The sequence below is a fragment of the Homo sapiens genome, chromosome 6 (genome assembly GCF_000001405.40).
Source record: "Homo sapiens chromosome 6, GRCh38.p14 Primary Assembly".
NCBI lineage: Eukaryota > Metazoa > Chordata > Mammalia > Primates > Hominidae > Homo > Homo sapiens.
The window spans coordinates 16,935,230-16,958,591 of NC_000006.12; the positions used below are offsets into that span (position 1 = coordinate 16,935,230).

Here is a 23,362-nt window from a genome sequence, read left to right on the forward strand (position 1 = left end):
AGGTTTTGTAGTGAACATTTATTGATCTTGCTTCCAACAAAATGTCTTTCATTTTTGTTAAACAATATACCTAAAATCTGTGATGTCCCAAGTAATAAATTTGTACTTTACATCTTTACAATATGCTAAACATGCAGTTAAGAGTGAGACCAACTTCTCAAGCTCCATTAGAGGCTTCATGAATTGCTTGAATTAAACTAGAAGCCAAATTCAGACATTAAAACAAAACAAATCCTCAGAAAATTCACATCTAGGATTCTCAAATCTTCACGAGGCTGAAATGGTTATTTGTCATATTTTTTTCTGATTATAAGAGCATTATGTCTTTATTGTAAATAATTTAGAAATGTAGAAAAGGATAAAAAAGAAAGTAAAATTCAATCCGAATCCATTTACAATCACACCAAAAAGAATAAAATACTTAGGAATAAATTTAACAAAAGAAGTATAAGATGTATGTACTGAAAGCTACAAAACATTGTGAAATAAATTAATGGAGATCTAACTAAATTAAAAAGACACCCCCTGTTCATGGGAAATAGTAATACCCCCCATGTTGATTTACAGATTCAGTGTAATCTGTGACAGAATACAAGCTGCCTTTTGGAGGGCAGAAACTAGAAATTCAAGAGACCTAGAATAGCCAAAGCCATCTTGAAAAAGAAAGAAGTTAAAGAGCTCACATTTTCTAGTTTCAAGACTTGCTACAAAGCTACAATAATCAAGACAGTGAAGTGCTGGTATAAGGCTGGACCTATAGATCAATGGAATAGAATTGAGAGTACAGAATTATAAACCCTTACATTTATGTTCAACTAATTTTCAACAAGGCTCCCAAGACCATTCAATGGAGAAAGAACAGTCTTTTTAACTATGGGGCTTAGATGACCAAAGAGCCACATGAAAAGAATACAATGGGACCTCTGATGCAAATAATGTGCAAAAATTAAGTCAAAATGGATCACAGACCTAATTATAAGAGCTAAAACTCTAAAACTCCTTGAAGAAAACATAGGTCATAAATCTTCATGACCTTCGTTAGGCAATAGATTCTTAGATATGACACTCAAACCACAAGCAACAAAAGAAATACAACTGGACTTAATAAAACTTAAAAACGTTTGCATGTCAAAGGACACTATCAAGAAAGTGAAGAGACAACTCACAAAATAGAAGAAAGTACTTGCAAATCGTATATCTGATAAGAGATGTGAATCTAGAATATATAAAGAACTCTTACAACTCTATAATAAAAAGACAAATTACCTAATTGAAAAATAGGCAAAGGATCTGAATAGACATTTGTCCTAAGAAGATATACAAATAGCTAATAAACATATGAAAAAGAGCTCATTAGTTATCAGGGAAATGTAAATCAAAACCACAATGAGATGCCACTTCATATCCACTAGGATGACTAAAGTCAAAATGACAATAACAGATGTTGGAAAGGATATGGAGAAATTGGAATCCTAATACACTACTGGTAGGATTGTAAAATAGTGTAGTGACTTTCGAACACAGGCAGTTCCTTAAACTCCTTAAACTTAACATAGTTCATTAAACTTAACATAGAGTTATTATATGATTCAGCAATTCCACTCCTGGGTATACCCAAGAAAATTGAAAGCATATGTCCACGTAAAAACTTGTACATGAATGTTCATAGCAGCATTATTTATAATGGTCCAAAAGTGGAATAGCAGAAATATCTGTCAGCTGATGAATAGACAAACAAAATGTGGTATATCAGGTAATCAGATGTTATTTTACAACAGAAAAGACCGAAATTCTGCAACGTAGATTAACCTTGAAAACATTATGCTACCAGAAAGAAGCCAGTCACAAAAGGTCATATGTTGTATGATTTTATCTATGTGAAATGCCAGAATAGGCAAATTATAAAGATGGAAAGTAGATTAGTGATTGCTGGGGGCTAGGTTTAGGAAGGAATGGGGAATTTCTGATAAGGGATACAGAGTTTGTTTTGCGTTGATGAAAATTAGATATTGTTGATGGTGTGCAACTCTGTAAATACACTAAAAACACTGAATTTTATCCTTAAAAAGGTGAATTTTCTGGTATGTGCATTTTTTCCACAAGGGAAAAAGCACATAACTTTTAATATTTACATGCATTGGGGTCAAAGAAAAGTTGGTTAGAATTGAAGAGGTCAGATGCAGGGGCTTATGTACTCTAAAATAAGGGAAAGGGCTTGGACTTAAGGGAGGCCATTGTTTGAGATGATCAAACCAGAATGGTGTTTCTGGAGTGAGGTGCCATATAATCTGTCTTTAAAATTCGCCAGTTTTCCAAAAAACAGGAGATTCACAGCAACCAATCAGAACGCAGTGCCTAGGCGAGCATAAGGAACTCCCTTCTGTGTTATTGCTATAAGGAAATTAACTTTGCAATGATTCTAGAAAAAGGCAATTATATGTGTATACTAAATTTTTTGTAATTTTGTTCATTTTCATCAGGCTTCAATTGTTCAGGAAGTATGAAACATATAGGTGAATGGAAAATAGGAACCATTTTATGAAATTCTTTATGCATGCTCATATTGGTGTTGACTGTATATTCAAGGACAACGGTAGCCCTTCCCTCACTGGTATAAGGCAGACTACTTCCTCAAAGGGCAACCCATACCTTACTTTTAAGCAGATAAAACCCAAAACAGAGTAGATAACTTTTTCTGTATCTGTTGAGTCTCAATTGCCTGTAGCCCAAAATAATCCTTATGTCAATGCGGCATAATTTGGGGGTGGGCCAACCCCAAGCAAGCTTAGATAGGCTATGGAAACAATGTACCTTAAACAAATAGACAACAGTTTTACTAACATCACACAAGTTTGATGATTATTATAAATATACTCTGAAAAGGTATTGCCAATATCAGCATTGGCTACAAGGTTGCTTTCCTCAAGCAGTGATGATATGTGAATTATATCACAAAAAAGCTGTTATTTAAAAAGACAAATGAGTTAATCGTCACTTTGAAGTAAAGGTGCTACTTGTAAAACAAACCAACAAACCGCAACTCAATCTTATACCATATTACGTAGCGCTAACTGTCCTTAACAATACACACATCCAGAACTTTTTCATACACACACACACACACACACACACACACACACAGATATCATTTCCACAAAATTGTGATCAAACTGCATTCCAAGGCTTTTCTTCAGAGGAGAGCATAGCCTTTCCCCCAGGGATACCAAATACTGTTTCTGGAGAAAGCACAGTTTCTCCAGAAGGTGAGAAGTGTACCACTGGGGATACTCAGGACGATTTTAACTAACACTTAAACATGTTTAATTTTGATAGTTATCTACTTATGTTAATGTGTATTGAAAAAATATAGTTAGCACCTCAAATTCATGGTGGCATAGATATATCATCACTTAGGACAAAGATAATGTGGGATTCCATAGTTTAAAAACCAAGTCCATTTAAATAAAAATATTAAGCACATGATAGTAGAGCTGGACACAGGCAGGGCAAAAACCCTGAAGTGGTACTGAAATAACTACAGTTTGAAAAACACTGTTACAAAATGCATTCTTGAATCACGGCAAAGGATTTTGTTTCATGGTTACACCATTGCTCCATCTCTACTGATGGGCTACTGGGTTGTTCATGGTTCAGAATTGTCCCTCTGGTGAGTCTCTCCATAGCCCAGATGGAGTCCTCCTGGTCATGGCTGGCCAGGGGTGGTCACTGAAGATGAGGAAGTAGCCAGCTAAAGCTTTTCTAGTGATCCTCTAAGGGATCACTTACATAAGTTCAGAAAGTACATTTACCTGACGGAAGTACTCGAGGATATTTAAAAGCTACCTATTCTCACAGTGATGTAAGAGACAAGAGACCAGGAGCCATGGTGGGTTAAACCACTTCCTTTCCCCTCTGTTCTCCTCGCCCCCATGCTCTGCTGTCTCCAGGATTCATAACACATGGATCCTGGAACAGAGACAAGGAGGACTTGGGGCTCTTCCCACAGGACACCTCTTGCCCTCCTGGCAACCACTTCCTTGCATCTCCTGCCCATGCTCTTCCAAACACACAGGCTCAGAACAGCAAACCCACTAGGAAAAACCAGCTCTGAGAAGGACAAAATGCCTGATCTGTGTTTGAAACGCAACACCATGTATTTAGAAATAACCTGTTTTCAGGAAATTCAGAACAATCTTCTTAAAGTTATGCTGGAGCTAGCCAATTTCTCTTTTAGGGTCACTTGTTTGTATTAATAGAAATCCATCTGCATAAAGTGACAGTCTACGTTCCTGTTCCCCCGTCTGTCACCAGATGGAGACTTGGTCAATGTGGGATGCTGTCTTTCACGCAGATGCCAGCATATATAAAAAGACAAGTTATTGGTGGAAATTATAAGAGATGGAGATTAGGACCATTCTAAAACAGACTTGGATCTCTGCTTTTGACACAGGAAATGTTGTTTACGCCATTTCAGTGGGATTGCCTAAAATATACCAGTTCCACGCGAAAGATAATTACTTACACTACTTACTAACAGATAATGCATTCTTCTGAGTACGTTTAAAAAAAAATAAAAAGGAAATTCTTTCAGTTAACACTGATATATCCTTTTCACTCACCTTTCCTTGACTATGGAGCCTTTTTAAAAAGTGAGCGGGAGAGGTCAGGTCCTTCCAGGAGCATGTTGACTGGAATGCAGCTCTTCCCTTTTTTCTCTCCACTCCCAACCCGGGGCTCTCGGCTCTGCTAAGTCAAACAACTACTGACACCCATGGACAGCTGCATACAAATGGGGCTTGAAGCTCGGGTTAGAGCCCTGGCGGAGAAAGCAAAGAGTATGGTGTACAGATTTCAACATGACCTAGAAGAGCACTTGGAGAACAGCATTAGCCCCACAGGCTGAGGACCTAAAAGTGGCTGATCTTGGGAAGACTGTGGAATGTCCTTCCTGTTGCATTTTTATATCATAGCCAGAAGTCACCCTGATGTTTGCTTCCTGCATGATCCTGCCCTACAACCAGACCAATCCTGGGCACCTGAGCACAGCCAATGTGCAGTCCCTCTGTTTACCCAGGCCATTGCCCGGCAGCTGCAGGAGTTTCCTAGGTCATTTTCCAAACTCTTCCACTCTACAGAATTATAGCTCTCTTGTCTAGAGCCCTTGTTACCCGCTCTGGAATCCTGACAGCTCCTCATTTCCTCTATCCCAAACCGTGGCTGGCGCACAGGGTTGGTTAGGATTACCTTTGTCCATAGAAGCCCGATTACACCAGCTTAGCCAAGCAGAAGGCCATTTTTCTCATATAACAGGAGCTCCAGAGAGAGCATCTGTTTATGACTTCGGAAGATGCCTTAGGAGTTCATCAAGAACCGAGGCTTTTCCTAGTTTCTTGTTCTGCCATCTCATTGTGTGATTTTCATCTTTATGGTTACAAGATGACTTTTCCACTCCCAGGCCTCAAATCTATTTCCAGGCAGGTTAAAATACACAGGGCAATGGGCACAAGCTGGCTAATGCTGTCCCTTTTTATTTCATCAAGAAATAATAATTTTTAGAAAGTGTCACCCAAAAAAACCTTTGCTTTTACCCTGGTGACCAATACTAGGTAACATGGCCACCTCTAAAATCGAGAGTCTAAGGAAGTGTTTTTACCTGGGCACTTTGTAGCCCCAAACAAAATTTGGATTCTGTTACAGGGAAGAAGGGAAAATAGATATTGGGTAATGCTGCAACTAGCTGAGGAGCATGTTGGACTCCTTGAAACGACGATGCTCCCATATGCTTGACTTCCTGTGTCATTCCACCTGGCAGCTCCTAGGTGCACTGCTCTTTAGGACTTTCTTGATATTTTGGGTAGCTGGAATACTTCATCCATCTTAACGCTACTGTTGACCTATCTGCTGTAACCCTCAGCAGTCAACCCCATAGCTAGTGAAGTTCTGTGACATTTACTTTTTTTTCCCCAAACAGCTCATTTCAGTCTCATCAAAGCTCATATCTTATGGCCAGGACTGTATGAGTTATGACAATATGGGATCTCAAACAGGGTGGAAAGCAATGAGGATTGCAAGAATTAAGGAAAGAGTTTAATTCATCAAGGTGAGGCAGACACACTGGGAATTAGAATATGAGTGTCAAGTAAAAGTCCCTATCTCTCCTTAGCCCTCCACTCTAACCCCAGAGGCAATTTGTTTATTTGTTTCTGGTATATCTTGCCAGAAACTTTCCAACCCTACACAAAATATATGGTAGAATTTTTATAAGTGTGACACAAATGAGAGTATACTAAACATCTGTTCAGTAACTTGATATTTTTCAGTACATAGAGATATACCTGATTCTGCTTTGTGTTACATTATATAAATGTATCAACAGTTCTTAAACTATTCCCCTACTGAGGGGCATTTAACTTGTTTTCAGCTGTTTATCATTACACATAATGCTGCAGGGAACTGCTTTCTACAATAGACTTTAATCAACTATGTGAGTGTATGTGTTGGACGATTCCCCACAAATGAAATAGAAATTCATATTTATTGAAAAGAATGAAATTGGAATTATCCCAGAAAATCTTGGTTGCATAGGCAAAATAATTTAAACTATTTTATGTGGACTTTTCTGGGACTTTTAATAAAAAATTGTAAGATTTCTTAGTATTACACTTATGCAAACTGCAGTGTGTAACTGGCATGGAGATGTGAATAATTCAAAAGAGAAAACAAAACAATTTTGCCTTAAAATAGCAGAATTCTAGACGAAGTGTTGTAGATTTTCTTTCTAGGTTTTCTACACTGGAGGATGCCATCCTATTAGGATATTTGGGGGAAAATATTATTTTAATATTAAAAGAAACCTATATATATGATGGTATATAACTTGAAATTTACATACATTTTTAGATAAACAGGAGCTTTTGAAGAAATTTTATTCTTGCTATCGACTGGTCTATGACCCTGATCTCTTATACATTTATCTCTGCAATTTGTGGTATGTCTGTGTCAAGTTTTCACTGGATGAACACAGAAATTTTTCCTTCCACTCCACGTTTGTAAGAATGTGTGTCTGTGTGTGTGCACAGGCAGATTCAAAAGAACACTACAAAGGCAATTATATTGAAGTGCCAAACAGAGGGCTTGTGGAATCGGTAATGTTAACTCTTGTTAGAGTAATGTATTGCTCTGGGTTGAAGTTAATAAATGTTAAAGTCTAGGATAATACAATTAGATGTAAGCTTCTGAAGTTGTGGTTTGCTTGCCTCTGACTGATCTTAGGTCAACACAGAGACTAGACTGTAGGATTTTGAAAATATATATATATATTTTTAAAGAATTTAAAAGAAATGATGAACAAAACTTTCTGTCCATATCAAAAGGACTTTCATGATGTCTCCAAGCATTTGTTGAAACCAGAAATATAGCATTTCATAGGATATTTCCTAAAGCTTTAAATTTTTCTGTCATGCTCAAGGCCTGAGGAATTATAGCGATTTCTTTTACCTGTCCTGGTGTTATGTAAAAAGTAAGCCCTTTGCCTTGTTTGTCTTTGTTCCATGTCTCTTTTTATAAAGATGAATGATGACCTTGTGACTTTTGAACATCAGTGATGGGTTATTTCAGGACTTTTTCCCCCAATAGAGCTGCCTTCTTTTTTTTTTTTTAACCTTTTATCTATTTTGGAGTTAAGCATTGGCAGCATCACCCTAGCCGTCTTACTTTGGGAATGACTAAGAAAAAAAAATCAACTTCTTAAAAGGATTATCTTTTTCATTCTTGTTTTTCTTTTATACTTAAACCTCTTCATACTTCCCCCAGCTTTTTGTTTCTATTTGCATCGAAAATCTGTTTGACTTGGTGGCCAGTTGACATGCATTCCATTTCTGTTTCCAGAGTCATAGGCATCGTCAACATCATTTTCACAAATGGGGACACTGAGGCACCGAAAGCAATGAGGGGTTTTGCAGTGTCCTCAACGTGGTTTTTGACAGAAATGAAATCAGATGCATAGCTTTTATTTCCAACTATGCTCTTCCCCTTGTTTCATAACTGGCTCCTTCTGAAGTCTCTGGTCCTTCAAGTGATGGGTAACCAGCTGGTGACGCAGAAGTGGCTGTTGTATTCAGCCATCGACACACAGGAAGAGCTAGCTGAACGCAGAGGTGACCTTCACAGCAGCTCCCTATTCTTGGGGGAGGAGATGACCAGCCTCTTCAGTGATGCTAGCCAACCATCCAGCCTCACTCAACCAGACTCTGTTCTTCTGTTCTTTCATTACATCTAGACCTTGTAGTACTGAATTAAAGGAAGCCTGAGCCTCAGACGGAGAGTTGGGAAGACCTGGACTTTAGTCCAGTTCAATTAGCATAAGATTTGGGGCACCCTCTTAACCTCTCAGTTTTCTACTTTGTAAAATAAGAGCTTGATCTTTTATTTTTAAGTTCTCTTCCAGGCCTGTCGAGAGAATACAATGTCTGCCTATATTCTCTGATTCTTATGAGCATAGGAAATGCCAAAGAATTATGAAAAAAATAATTCTAAGAAATATCAATGTTCTTTTTGTCTTCTAATTTTTGTATCATTTGCTAATTATAGTAAAGACAATTGTTTTATCAGGTTTTTTTTTTAAAAAAATATGTAAGCAATTCATACTACACTTAATGATGGGTTGTGTTCTAATTGGATTAGAAGGAAAAAAGCTATCCTTCATTTGGTTCATTAAAAATACTTAGCAATGAGTACGTTTAAGTTACAGTGATAGACCCCATTGGTAACACAAAGATGAGTAACATACAACCTCTATCCTCAGAAAATATAGAGTATACAGGTGTATGGCCAACTCTAACAAGAAGCGTGAAACGAGTACAATGAGTTAATCTGAAAACTCAGAGAGAGAGAAATTGCTTTCAGTAGGAAGATCTGGGAAGGCTTTATGGAGAAGTTCAGCTCCTGCTACATAGCTAGTATCCAGTAAGTTTTTGTTGCAGGTTAAATGGGGCTGCACGTGAACCAGGTCATCCAGGACTAGTAGGAATTAGTCCGCTTGAGTTGAGACAGTTGGAGATGAAGGCAGAGAGAATTGTGTGGACAAAGGTGAGGCATTTTGGACATGTACAGAAAAGAGTCAATGGCTAGCCAAATCTGACAGCCCCAGGGGACCTCTCTCATTCAGCTGTGGCCATTTGGCCTCTGCTTCCAGCTTCATGACGGTCACTTGGACCCTGCATGTAGTGTGTGTGTGTGTGTGTGTTTGTGTGCACTCGTGTGTGTGTCTCAGATCTGACATTCAGGTTAAGCCTTGATTGTTAACCAGGTCTTTTCTTGTTTCTGAGCCTCACTGCAGTTCTAATCTCTAGATTTCTGTGCCATTTTCTGGACCAGAGCCCGCATTTAGTAAGCAGCCTGCACTCTAATTTCTCTCAGATATAAAAGTCCTGCCTCATTCTTGGTCTTTCATCACTTTAAAGACATCGATTCACTGTCTTCTAGCTGCTGAGGCTTCTGCTGACACATTCACAGCAGAATCATTGTTCCCCTGTATGTAATGTGTCATCTTTTTCTAGCAGCTTTCAAGATGTTTTTGTTTTAATCTTTGGTTTTCAGCAGTTTGATTATGGTGTGTCTGGTGTGGTTTTCTTTGTGTTTATTGTTTATCATCTTTGGGATTCATGGAGCCGCTTTAGTCTACAAATTTATGTCCTTCTCCAATAGTGGAAGTTTTTGATGCCAATCTGTTTTATTTTCTTTCTGAAATTCCAATGACATATATGTTAGGCCTTTTGATATTGTTCCATGGGTCGTTAAGTTTCTATTTTTACTTTATTTTTTTTCCTTTTTTTTTTTTTTTTTTTTTGAGACAGAGTCTCGCTCTGTTGCCTAGGCTGGAGTACAATGGCATGATCCTGGCTCACTGCAACCTCTACCTTCCAGGTTCAAGCGATTCTCCTGCCTCAGCCTCCTGAGTAGCTGGGATTACAGGCATGCGCCACCACGCCCAGGTAATTTTTGTATTTTTAGTAGAGACGGAGTTTCACCATGTTGGCCAGGCTGGTCTCGAACTCCTGACCTCAGGTGATCTGCCCAACTCGGCTTCCCAAAGTGTTGGGATTACAGGCATGAGCCACCATGCCCAGCCTCTCTGTTCTTTAGACTGGATAATTTTTTATTGATCTATCTTCAAGTTCATAGACTTTTCTTTCTGTCACTTCTACTCTGTTGTCGAACTTACCCAATGACTTTTAAAGTTTCAGATATTGTATTTTTCAGTTTTGCAATTTTCAATTGGTTTATTTTATAGTTTCTATTTCTCTACAGAGAATGTCTTTTTTTTTTTTTTAAGTATTTTCACCTTAGCCTCATGGATCGTAGTTAAAATAGCTGTTTTCAAATCTCTCCTTCAGAATTTCAACCCCTGGGACATCTCAGTGTGTCATATGTTGCTTCTTTTCCTTTGAGAATTTGTCACAGTTTTTCAGTTCAATGTATGTTTCTGCAATTTTGGATTGTACCTTGGACATTTTGTATATTATGTGTTGTGCTATTGTATTAAACAAATGGAAAATGTTGACTTTTTATTTGTTTGATATCAGGCAACCTGGTCAGATTCAGACTGAAAGTTCTGTTTTGCTTCCTGTGGTGGTTCTAATCTCAGGTTAGCTTTTAAAACCTTTGGTATGCTGCTTTGAGTGTGTCCCATGCACATGCCACTTAGAAATTAATCTGTGATGTGGGCTGCATTTTAATATCAGTGCAGCTCTCACAGCCTCTGCTGTGCTGGTTTGTGTCTGATCCATGCATGCACTTGTGTGGGTTCATAAACAGGATTATGGGATCCCCTTCACTAACTCTCTCCTCTCCACACTTCTGGCCCCTTTTCCCAGGTCTTTCATCCAGAATGTTGAGGCTATCATCTAAGTTTCAGCACTCAGCCCAGCTGATCCTTCCCAGCTCTGTGTCTGGGGCTGCCCTCAGGGAAAAGACATGAGAAAAGGATAAAAACGCACTTGAGAAATTCATTCTTTTGCAGGTCGCCTCTCCAAGTTTCAACCTCCTTCCCCAATCTGCCTGCCTGCTTTGGCTTAATTTTCAGGGTCCCTGGGGAGCTGGTTTCTGTATTTTGCCCAGAGTTTTTAGTTATAATCAGTGGGAGAGGTCAACTGTGGTGGACTTGCCCTGTTATGCCAGAAACAAAGTCTAAGTTCATGTAGAAAGTACATTTTCAAGGAGCTTGGAAAGGAAAAGGAAGAAGAGGGCAGGATGCGGTGTGGCTAAGGAGGCAAGGTGGAGACAAAGATGTCTTAGAAAGAGCTGGCGGTCTTGCTTGAAGGCCAGGAGCAGAGACCCAGAGGAGAAGTTAAATAATAACCATCTGCCTCAGTCAGAGAGGAAATGATGCGGGAGAGGACTCTGAAAATTAGGTCAAATCAGGCAAATTGTGGAGGGAAGTTGAAACATGGAGTAGTGACCTGCAAGGGAATGAATTTCCCAGGTGTCTTTTTTTCTTTCTTTCTTTCTTCATGGCTTTGCCCTGCAGGTGGCTTTAAGCACAGAGCTGGGAAAGTGAGTCCAAGATGCAGGCTGCTACAACTCAGATAATAACCATCTTTCTGACCTGAAGAACTAGGTAAAGGGGCACTTGGGGGCCAGAGAGTATGGAATGGAGAAACCTATGGAAGGAGATCCCATAATTTTGTTTGTGAATTCACACAGGTGCATGCATGGATCACATTGCAGACTCAAGAAGGAAGAGATGGGATTCAGGACATGGTGGGTGTGGCTTAGAGGAGAGAAGGGATACTTTCTTCTCTGAGATGGAGGGAGGGAGGGGAAAATGAGGTTAATCCCCAGAGCTTTGGGGGTGAACAGAAAGGAAGCTGAGTTGGCTGATATCTAACATCCTACTAAGATCACCCGCCAAGAGTAAGAGGGGGCTGGGTTGGGGTCCAGGACTTACGAAGCCATCTTTAGCTAATCAAATCCTTGTGAAGTTTAAATGGGCTTCAATCCAGTTGCAGTGCTAGTATCGTTTCATCTGTGACTGAGGCAGGTTATCCTATGTACCTTTTAAACCAGCACCATTCCGCCAGGAGCTAAACGTCAGTGCAGAACTCATCAGAAGAGAACTAGGTCTAAACTTGAGTAACATGTGCATTGCATTGTCCCTCCATTTCCAGAGTTGAAAATGGCTTTGGGGAAAAAAATCATACAATTATAATATGTGGACCACAGAAGAAAGAAGAAAAGTTAGCAATGTTCTGGGAATGGTGCCCAGCTCTTTTATGACTCTGAGTAGTAAAGTTACAGCTTGCCACATGCAAACTTGTTGGCAGAATGCAAACTGAAGCAATGCTCAGTCAAGGCCTCTCACTCATCTATTTCATTTGTTGCCAGCATCACCATTATTAATGAAGAGCGACTGAGCCTCTTGGCAGGTTTGAGTTAGTTCTGATGTAATTGTCCATTATCTCTCTTGTAATCACTTCCATGCAGTTCAAATTCCTCCCCTCTATTTCCTGAAATCTGACTCCCAGCACTTCAGTTCTGGGTGCACCAAAATGCCAAGTCACTTCAGATCGGATTTCTTCTGACTCTCTGAGTACTCCACTCTGTGCCTCTCCCACTTGCTGAGAAAAATCACTTAGAGACTCAATGGTGATTCCATTTCTATTAACCAAGGTGCAGTTTCAACATTTTCCTCTAGGCAAAGGTACAAATGACACATTTTTTCCACGTGTGGTTTGCGTGTGTGTGTGTGTGTGTGTGTAAGTGCTCTAAGACTGTTTTTTATTAAAACAAAGCAAGAGCTACTTCCTGTGAGAATTGATGTTTTGTTGTTCAAGGATGGGTTTTGTGTTTCTATGTTAAAATCCCTTGGCCTGGAGTCAGGATTGGTGGTGGTGGTAACTGACTGAAGATTCACCCCAGAGTGTCAGCTATAGTGATCTCAACTGAAGATGAGGATAAGGAAAAGAGAATAATTTATTAGAGGATGGAAATGACTTGGAGATCAACTACCAACCACAAACTACTGAGTTGATTAGTTTAAAATTATCGTACTGAGCGATGATCTCCTCTTGACTTTAGTGAGGATTTAATAGACGTTCGAGTCACCCAGGTAATCTTGATTTTTTTTAAAAGTGAATTCCAGTGTCGTATGATCATAGGACACTATTCTCATTCATGAGTTTTTGTTTCATAAGTAAGAATCTCATGGATGGGTTTATGAGCTCAAGAAGGAAGCTAAGCTGTAGACTCCTAGATATTTAAGGCTGAAAAAAGTAGGTTGAAATCCTCTTGTCCAACTCTTTTATTTTATAACCACAAATGGAAACACAAGAGACATTAAGCAACTTGCCAAAGGTCATACAGCTGGTTACTGATACAGCTGCAACTCAGATGCATATGTGTTTGCTCCCTGTGTATGTGCTTTCCATCCAACGTACCTTCAAGATTCACACTTGTCTTGCTGCCTTTGCTTTTTCTCTTTCAGTTGAAGGGTTGGAGGCAGTGGGACGTGGGAAGAAAGAGAATATTCACAGAGAGAAAGTCCTCTGAAAAGCAGTTGATTTCTCTGAAGGAAATGGCTCAAAGATGTTGATGCGAACTTGTTGTAAGATTTCCATTCACTGAAGAGGAAGTCCGTGATCCTCACTCCCAAGAGGGATCCAGGGATCTAGAGACTCCTAAGACCCTCCAATATTTAGCGATGATGTCAGACCAGTGATTTTCTTGAGCTCACAGCACAAACTGTTATTAATGTTTCCTGCCCATGTACCTCCTCCCACAATGTGCCAACACACACAGTTCATCATCTGATGATGATGGACATGCTGCAGATTGAAAGTTCAGATTCTGTAGGTGTCCTTAGACTTGGTTAGCGTGAGAATGTCCCCTTGAAAACAATCTCCAAATAAATGAAAAATGCTGGTGACTTCCAGGCAAGTTAGAAAATGAGTTCATTTAGGTTTTCAATGACCATCCTCTCTTCCTCAAATACATTCATTCTCATCCACATGGGCTAGTCTCATGAAGACAGAACCAGGTCAAAATAGTCTCTCAGGGGTTATTTAGGACATAACACTACACAGTGTTGTTAGAATGGTTAGAATCAGACATTTTCCAAGTTAAGGTTAGGGAAGACAGAGAGTCCAGGTGATACCAGAAATTCAGTCTCGGGGCCTGGCATGATGGAAATTAAACTGGCCTGACCCAAATCACTCATAACCACCAAACAGCTGGCATGAGTTAAAAAAAAAAAAATCCTGATTCAGGCCTCCAGGAATAATTTTTTGGAAATCTCTGAGCACTTGTTCTCATTTCCCAAATTCCTCTTCTTCCTTCTTCTGTTGAAGGAACCAGACATAGGCCATCTGGGCAAGAGATTCCAAGAAAAAAGGTAACTCAGCCCTGCTAAACAAAGACCCAAGACTCATTCATACAGAGGCAACAGCCTAGAACATGCTTCTTGTCTTTGCTGGGAATGCCCTTCTTCCCATCCATAGATATACCAGTGGCTTCTCTTAAACTTCATTTTTTAACCAAATTAGACAATCAATTTGTGGAAGGAAAAGGAGGGTTTAAAAAGGAGCCTCAAGGCCCAATCCCAGTGGGAACAAAACCACAGCTATTTGTAGAGACTGAAGAATGTGCTTTTAATCTCTTATGTCTAAGGATTTCATTCTCCAAAATAATCTCTATAGTCATCCCAGTTTAAAATTCTGTTTTTATTACCCTGTCAGGTCTGTACATTGTAGTCACTGCAGCTCCTTTTACTTGGACTTGGACACAGCTTACATCTGGCACCTCATACTCAACATGTGGTCCATGGACCACGATCAACAGAAGTTTGTAAGAAATGTGAATCTCAGGCCCTGCCCCAGATCTACTGAATTAGGATCTGCATTTTAGCAAGATGCCCCAGGTGACTGGTGTAGGAATTTGAGTTTTACAAGTGCCACTCAACTGGACTCTCAGAAAACCAGCTATGAACCTGAAAATTTTCATCAATCTTATTGTGTTTTGCGGTCTACATAAGTTAAAAAAAAAACTAAAAAAATCTGCTTGTTGTTTCTGATATGCACACATATAACAAACTAACAATGTGTATATGTATAAATATGTGTGTATATATATAAAATATATAAATATAATTCCATTTTTGTATGAAGATCCATCCTCTCAGTAAGGAGCTAAATATGATTAGCTCTGTAATAAATTTCTCATATCTTCCAGTAACTAATCTGGACCACACCCACATAGCACCCATGCCAGTCACTGGTTAAATGGTGATAAGCAAAACATCCACATTTTCTGCCTTCCTGGAATTTACAGTAAGTCCACTAAGAAGTTTTCGCAATATCTGGAAAATAGAGACCATATATTTTACATCGTTATGTCTTCCAAAGGGTCTAGAGCTAGAATGGTGCAGTAAATGTTCAATAAACTTTTCTCAAGTTAAAATGATAATAACAGAATGCCTGGAAATTACCTGACTAATATTTTGCAATTGTTCAAGCTGTTCGGATGACACCCATCAGGAAGCTGAGAAAAATGTGGTTAGCTTTTAATTTATTCTGTTTCTTCTCACATTATTAAAGTCTAAACAATTTGTTAGGTTTTGTTTGTAACAAGTAACTTTCTAAATGCAATGTATCCATGTTTTCAATACACGTAAATAATAGTTGGCTATATATGTTGCCTAAGCCTGTGTCTACATGGCAGGAGAAAATAAAGCAAGATGTTCAGCTGGAACTTGTTCTTTTTTTTTTTCCATATTGGTTTCTGCTTTTGTTTCAAGATGTGTGTGTCTGAGAGATTTCCAGACCACAGCTTTTGATTGAGTGACAGTGAGTCAGGTTCCCACCTGTTTTATCTGTAATACTTTCTTTGCAAGTTAAATAGAATGATGGAAAGATTATTTGGCTCCAATACAGAGTGATTTGAAAACAACAGAAAAAAAAATTAGCTGGAAAATAGAAGCATAGGAAAAAATCACAGAGCTGGAAGAAACCTTAGATAAAGTCTAATCATGTTGGAAGAAGAGTAGGGTGAATGGGGACAGTCCCTCCCCCTCACTTTATAGATGAAGGAAAGGAGGTTCAGAAAGGAGAAATGACTTGCCTAAGGTCAATCAAGTTTTAGGGAAACAAATAGAAGTGATTTTTGAAAGATGTCTTCAGTTTTATATAAAAAATTCTCTAATGAATGTACTAGTGGGCTTTTATTTTTATAACCCAGATATATGGAAAAACTTACAAGGTAGGTGATATTTCCCTATGATATTCCAAGCTTTTGTTTCTATTTCCAGTTTTACTCTGATGCCTTTTCTCCAACTCCACCTTGTTGATTTTCTTATTATATTTGAAATGAGTTTCTTGCAGACATCATATAGTTGGGTCACAGTTTTTGTTTTTTAAGCTAACAATCTCTGTCTTCTAATTGGCATGTTTAGACCATTTGCATTTAAGATAACTATTGATGTACTTGGAATTAGGTCCACATTTTATTATTTGTTTTCTGTTTTATTCCTCTGTTTTCCTCCTTCTGCTTCCCCTTCTCTGCCTTCTTCGGGATTATTTAAACGTGTTTTAGCACTCCATTGTGATTTTTTTTTTGTATGTTTGGCTATATCTCTTTGTATAGTTTTTTTGGTGATTGTTCTAGAGAATGCAATAAACATACATAGATTTTTTTACAGTTGACTAGAGATCAATATTTTATCACTTTAGGTGGAATGGAGAAATCTTATCACTATTAAGAATCCTTTGCCAGCCCAGCCAGGGTGGGATCATGCCTGTAGTCCCAGCACTTTGGGAGGCTGAGGCGAGTGGATCACTTGAGGTCAGAAGTTCAAGACCAGCCTGGCTAACATGGTGAAACCCTGTCTCTACTAAAAATATAAAAATTAGCTGAGCATGGTGGCAGACACCTGTAATCCCAGCCACTTGGGAGGCTGAGGCAGGAGAATTGCTTGCACCTGGGAGGCAGAGGTTACAGTGAGCTGAGATCATGCCACTTCTCTCCACCCTGGGTGACAGAGTAAGACTCTGTCTTGAAAAAAAAAAAAAAAAAAAAGATCCTTTACCCTCTCCCATTAATGTTGTAGCTATCTAAAGCATTGTATGTATATATTTTGAAAACCTAATCCAATATGTTATAATTTTTTATTTCAATCATCCAATATATTTTAAAAAACTAAAGAGAAAAGTAGTCTACTATGTCTGCCTGCATATCTAACATTTCTGTACTTATTTCATCATTCCTGATATTCTAAATTTCCTTCTAGTATCACTTACCTTCTGTCTGTTTAGAAGAAATGTTTAGAAGTTCTTCTCAAGGAGGTCTGCTGGTTAAGAATTCTCTTAGTTTTCCTTCTTCTGAGAATATCTTTATTTCTCCTTCATTTGTCATGCATATTTTCCTGAATATAGAGTTGTGGGTTAATATTCCTTTGCTTTCAGCACTTAAAAAATGTCATGCCACTTCTTTCTGGCTTCATAGTTTTTCATGAGAAATTTATAGTGACTTTTAAAACGTCACACCACTTTGTTCTGTCTTCATGGCTTCTTATGACAGATCTACAGTCAGCTGAAACATTGCTCCCCATAAGTCATGTGCTATTTTTTTCTTTGGCTGTTTTTAATACTTTGTCTTTAGTTTTCAGCAGTTTCATTATTATGTATCTGGGCTTGGGTTTTTTGTGGGTGGGGGAGTTGTTTATTTGTTTGTCTTTTTCTGTTTGGAGTTTCCTTAGCTTCTGGAATATGCAAGTTTATGTCTTTCACAAAACTTAAACTTTTCAGCCATTTATTTTCTAACGTTTTTTGGAAAATGCACTTCATTTTCTCTTCTCTTTCCGAGACTCCACTGATATAAATATTACACATTTTGTGATTATCACACAGGTCCCTGAGACTCTATTCATGTTTTTTTGTTTGTTTGTTTGTTTGTTTTTTTCAGTATTCTTTTCTCTCAGTTGCTCAGGTTGGATAATTTCTATTGATCTATCTTCAGTCTACTAACTCTTGCCTTTGACATTTCTATTATATTGAGCTCATCTAATGAGTTGTTATTCTACTTTTTGGCTCTAACATTTTTATGTCATTCTTTATAATTTCAATTTTTATGAGACTTTCTATCTTTCCACTCATTTCAAAAATATTTACTCTTACTTCTTGGAGCGTGTTTATAATAGCTGTTGTAAAGTCTTTGTCAGATAATTTCAACATCTATATCATCTCAGCATTGGCATTTGTTAACTGCCTTTTCCATGCAATTTGAGATTTTACTGGTTCTTCATTTGCTGAGTAATTTTTTATTTTATCATGGACATTTTGGATTATGTTTTAAGATGCTGGGTCTTATTCAAATCTATGAAGAATTTTGAAGTTTTTGTTTTACTGGATGAACAGCATGTTTGGATTGACGCCACAAGTTTCAAACAGCCTTCTGTAGTTTCAATGTCTATTCCATTTTCAAAGCTTTGTAGTGGTATTCAGATCAGACCCAGGTTTGCACCATCCAGTGGCCATTCTGAGACCTGGCCAATAATCTGTCCTATAGTTCAATTCTCAAAGTTTATAGGATGCTGGTTGAGGTCAACCTGTATTTGTACAGGTCATAAGACTAGGAGTTCAGAAATACTTTTATGAGTTTACTTTCCTGAACTTTTCCCTCTCTGCTATCTCCGTGATACATTCCAATTCTCTGAGATTCCTTTTTTTAATCTTCTGGTAGAAAGCTGGACTTTATTTGCCCATTCTGCCATGTAATTCCTGCATATCCCATATCCAGAACCAAGCAGTGGGAGGATAGAGAGAGACAACAGCAGGGGCTCTCCCTCACCCTCTTGAAATTCTAGTTCCATCCATCTGAGAGGAAGGTCCATTCTTTCAGAGTTTCATATGCATATAGGCCACTGGGACCTGGGGAGCAAGAGAATAGGAAAATAAAGAAATAAAAACACTGTCTCTATATGTTGAGACCCCTTTTCTTCTTGTGCTTGAACTAGAGGATTTTTCTGAAGCACTTTCTGTCTATACCAATGGCCACGTCTGGGTTTCAGGATGCCTGAGACCAGGCCAAACAATAACAATTACAACAAAACAAAGGTAAATTCATTGATGGTTTAGTGGTACTTAGAATTCTGGTCTTACCCAATCCACATACTTTTTACTTTTCAGAGCCCTCAAATAACTGCTCCATGCATTCTTTTCAAGTGTTTAACTTCATTGAGTGGGTGGAATATGTTTTTCCATCTTACTGGAAATCAGAACTTTGAAAGCTTTAAAAATTCAAAACAAAACAGATATTTAGGTCTCAGCCCCAGCGATACTAATTCAATTTGTACAGGATGGTATTAGGACAAAAGTTTGGGGTTTTTTGTTGTTGTTGTTTTGTTTTTTAAGATCATCCTTTTGATTTGAATATACGCCAAAGTTTAGAATCTCTGTCATAAACAAAGATACCTTCAGGCAGATATTCATTTTAAAATCTATTGCTACCCTTTATTGCTATCTTGCCAGATACTCTGCTAAATATTTTAAGGGTATTTAACTTAATAGATAATGGTTAAGGGTTTATGTTCTGAGATGAGCTGTACCTGGTTTTGCATTCCTACCAGACCACCCATTGGTTGTGTGTTCTTCAATAATTTGCTTAATCGCCAAGCCTTAGTTTTGTATCTGGGAAATGGAGTAATAATAAAACCTACTTTAAGGGGTTGTTAGAAGTATTAAGTGAGTTAATGAAAGCATACAGCATAGTGCCTGGAATATAGTAAATATTCAATAAACATTATCAAGTATTACCACTGACATTGTATAGGTGAGAAATTTGAAGCTCAGATAGGTTAGGTGAATTGACCAAAACTGCTTCATAGAGCTTTTTAAGTTACATCAACCAGACCCTGAAATATATAATATTACCCTCTGTAATTGGACAGTTGGAAACATCTGAGAAGATCTTTTAAGACTGAAATTGTTCAGCTATAGTTTTGACTTTATGAAAAAGAAGTCTGTACAATTCATCTTAAATGTTCACGAGTAACAATTAAAAAGGCAGCTTCTTCTAGGAAGCCCGAGTGATGATAATATGTGGGCAGAGTCACCAGTGGAGAGTATTTGTTCTAGAAACCTTCAGTGACTTATTTCCATATATGCGTATGCTTAAGGTTTTGCATGATAATAGAGAATAAGAAAATCTTGTGATTTCCTGGCCACGTAGAGTCCAGAAACAATGTTTTGTTTTTGTTTTTGTTTTTGTTTTAAGTTCTTGGACAGGATACATATAGGCTTAAGACTGTGTTCTGGAGCATCCATTAAATGGTTGCTAGACATATAATCTATGCAAATGTATAGTATACATTATGATACAATATTTGTAATTCATGCATAGGGTTTTATTATCTAGGGAATTTTAAATTAACAAGGAACGCCTCCCAGGTTTTCCAAATTAAAGGCTTCACATGATATTTTAACTTATTTGCTTCCCAAAATGTACATTTAATTTTAATTTTCCTTTCTAGTTTTTTCTTTCTCATAATTATTTAAAAAAGAAAAACATGTTTCTTCTAGGCAGAAGAGGTCCCGGTACTCTCCTAGAAGAAGCTCTATCATTGTAATAGGATTCCTTCTTTGAGAATGAAGAATGGTGTCCGACTCTTATATTTCATCTGCCAATGTATTAATAGGAGTAGCTCTTAGGAGATCTTTATACCATCATGTAACATTATCCACATCAGAAACACAACATCTAGCATAAATTTAATGCACCTTTTAAAACCACAATGTTGAAATATTCACAAGCTGTAAATGTGTTCTTGGTCTGTATGTGTAGGTGGAGGGAGGCAAAGTTGTGGTAATAAAGTGGGAAGGCCCGGGAAGAACAGCTAACTGTATAGGGGTGAAATGACGCTGTTGATACTCAGGTGGTAAATGTCAGTATTTTTCCAAATTCAACTTTGACGTTCAGAACAATTATGTCACATTTTCATGGGGAAATAACGATTTCCTTACATTGTAATTTATCTTCTTTGACCTTCAAACGGCATTTTTCACTGTCTTTGTCAGATGTCCCTTTTAACTCTCAATCTTGAGGACTAAGTTTTGGCAAACAAGGATCTCACATTATCAACTTCATTTTAGTGAAGTCATATATTACAAGGAGTTGTTGGCAGCATGGCCTAATAAATACCTCCCTCTTGTGTAGAAACTAGCACAAGTACACATCACAATACTTGAATAGGGGATCTTAGATATGATACATGACATAGTTGTAATGAGCCAAAGGTTTTCTTGGAAAAGACTGAGTGCTTATGAAGCAAGACAGAGAATCCTTCACTCTGAATTGCACCCAGCCACGTGTACAGTGCACATGAAGTATAAGTGGCTTTTAAAGCGTAGTACCTCTGCTAACAAAGGCTCTTTGAACTGAGGTTAGGATAGGATGTGTGGGTTTGTATAAGCATCAGAGTGTTTTAGAAAAAACACAAACATGACAAGTTGGGTGGGGATTTCCATTTTCTAGTAGTATAACATAATAGTCTAGAAGCAGTTGTGTCTGGAAAAGAAAAAACAAACAGATGTGCACAGCTGATTCCAACCATACCCATCGTGGATTTCCCACCGTGTGGCATTTCTCCTGCCAGTTCTTCTCTTTTTAGAAGACAATATGGAGGAGGTGGAAACAGTTGGATTTAACGAGATTCAGTGTTGGGCCTGCCGTTTACCGGCATTGATGGGATACATCTCTTCCCTGAGTCTCAGTTTCTTCATCTGTGAAACGGCAGAAAAACAGTAACGACTCACTAAGTCATTATGACTATTAAGAGAGGTGGCATTTAAAAATAACTTTGAAAACAATAAAGCTTTAAATATATGCTGATAATAACAATGGTAATAATAATAAACATTCATAATGCTAAACATTTACTGAACACTTACAATATATCAGAAACTGCACTGAACATTTTTCATGCATCATCTCACTTGGTCCTCACAGCAACCTAAAGAAACAGGTACCAAACGTGATGCTTATCACCAAGTAAGGACTCAATAAGTCTTTTTTTAGAGGATCTCTATTTTTCAGATGAGAAAACTGAGGTTCTCCAGGCTCGAGGATTCATTCATTCTTTCTTTCCTTCATTCATTTACTGTCCAAATACTTGCATTTAATTTTCCAGCTAAAGACTTCAAGCCCCTTGAAGGGAGAACACATCTCTCTCCAGATCACCAGAACCCCTGGACTGAATGAATGAATTTAGATCAGTAGTTCTCAACCAGGGGTGATTTTGCCACCCAGGGTACATTTGGAAATGTCCAAAAGCATTTTTGCTTGTCATTTTTGCTTGGCCTCTACTGGGTTGAGGCCAGGGTGCTGCTCAGTATCCCACAATGCACAGGACATCTCCTCACACACACACACAAAATGTCAATATGACAAAATGTCAACAATGTTGAGGTTAAGAAATCTTGATTTAGATATATGAACAAAATAGGAAAATAAATTAATGCACTTGCTGAACCGTCTTCCAGAACATAACACGTCATGCAAGCTCTCTCCAGTCATGAGAAGGTGCAAGCTCTCACCTGCCTCTGGTTTGGACCCTCAACATCATCCCTTCATGACCCTCATTCTTCTTTTTTGTGCTTGAGGAGACTTCTCCCAGCAGAGATTAGATGCTTGTGCTTAGCTAACTGCCATGATATGACAACTCAATAGAAAACCTGATAGAAATCCAGACCAGCTTTTCTCCAAAGAAAATCGTCTCCCCCACCTACCTCTGCAAAAGATATTCTGCTAAAACAATCTCTTAGAATAGATCTGGTCAGTCAAAATGAGAAGAGGAGCTGATTCCAGCAAGTTTAGTATATGATTTGTTCCTGATTCTTTCAAACTTTCTATCTTTATATTGTCTTTTACTCATTTTCTGACCTATTAATTTATTTTATCTTTCTAAATTATTCATATTTTTGTAAGGTATTCTTAATCATTTCTAGCATAAGGCAGGGAATAAACACATGCATCAAATAGCAAAGAGAGGCATACCATTTAAAATAGCTCCAACATTTTCCTTGTCTTCATTAGTGTTTCTTGAGCAGGGCTAGGATTTTTTTTTTCCTGTTAAGAATCACTAACTTAGCATAGAAAACTACAAGTAAACAAAAAAGCAACCAATAACCAAGTTTTTTTTCTTGGGGAGGGGTGGTGTTGAGTGAGCAGTGGCAAGACGGGGAGGATAGGAAAAGAGACCAGGGTGGAAGATATACAAGATATTTGATTCACTTTAAAATTCTGAGTAAAAAATACGCAACATTGATTAATAAATACAAAAATATAAACATGCTTCAGGTATATGCTATGCAAGGAA

General features: G+C 38.0%; 1 long non-coding RNA gene across 1 annotated transcript; it reads right to left on the reverse strand.

Annotated features, from left to right (window-relative positions):
* Positions 1 to 13,285: 13,285 nt before the first annotated feature.
* Positions 13,286 to 23,122, reverse strand: LOC107986573 (uncharacterized). Its single transcript, XR_001744006.2, has 4 exons — positions 23,041 to 23,122; positions 21,619 to 21,767; positions 17,289 to 18,917; positions 13,286 to 14,363 (listed from the first exon to the last, which is right to left on the reverse strand). It is a non-coding gene; the product is annotated as an uncharacterized LOC107986573 (long non-coding RNA).
* Between the last annotated feature and the right edge of the window lie 240 nt (positions 23,123 to 23,362).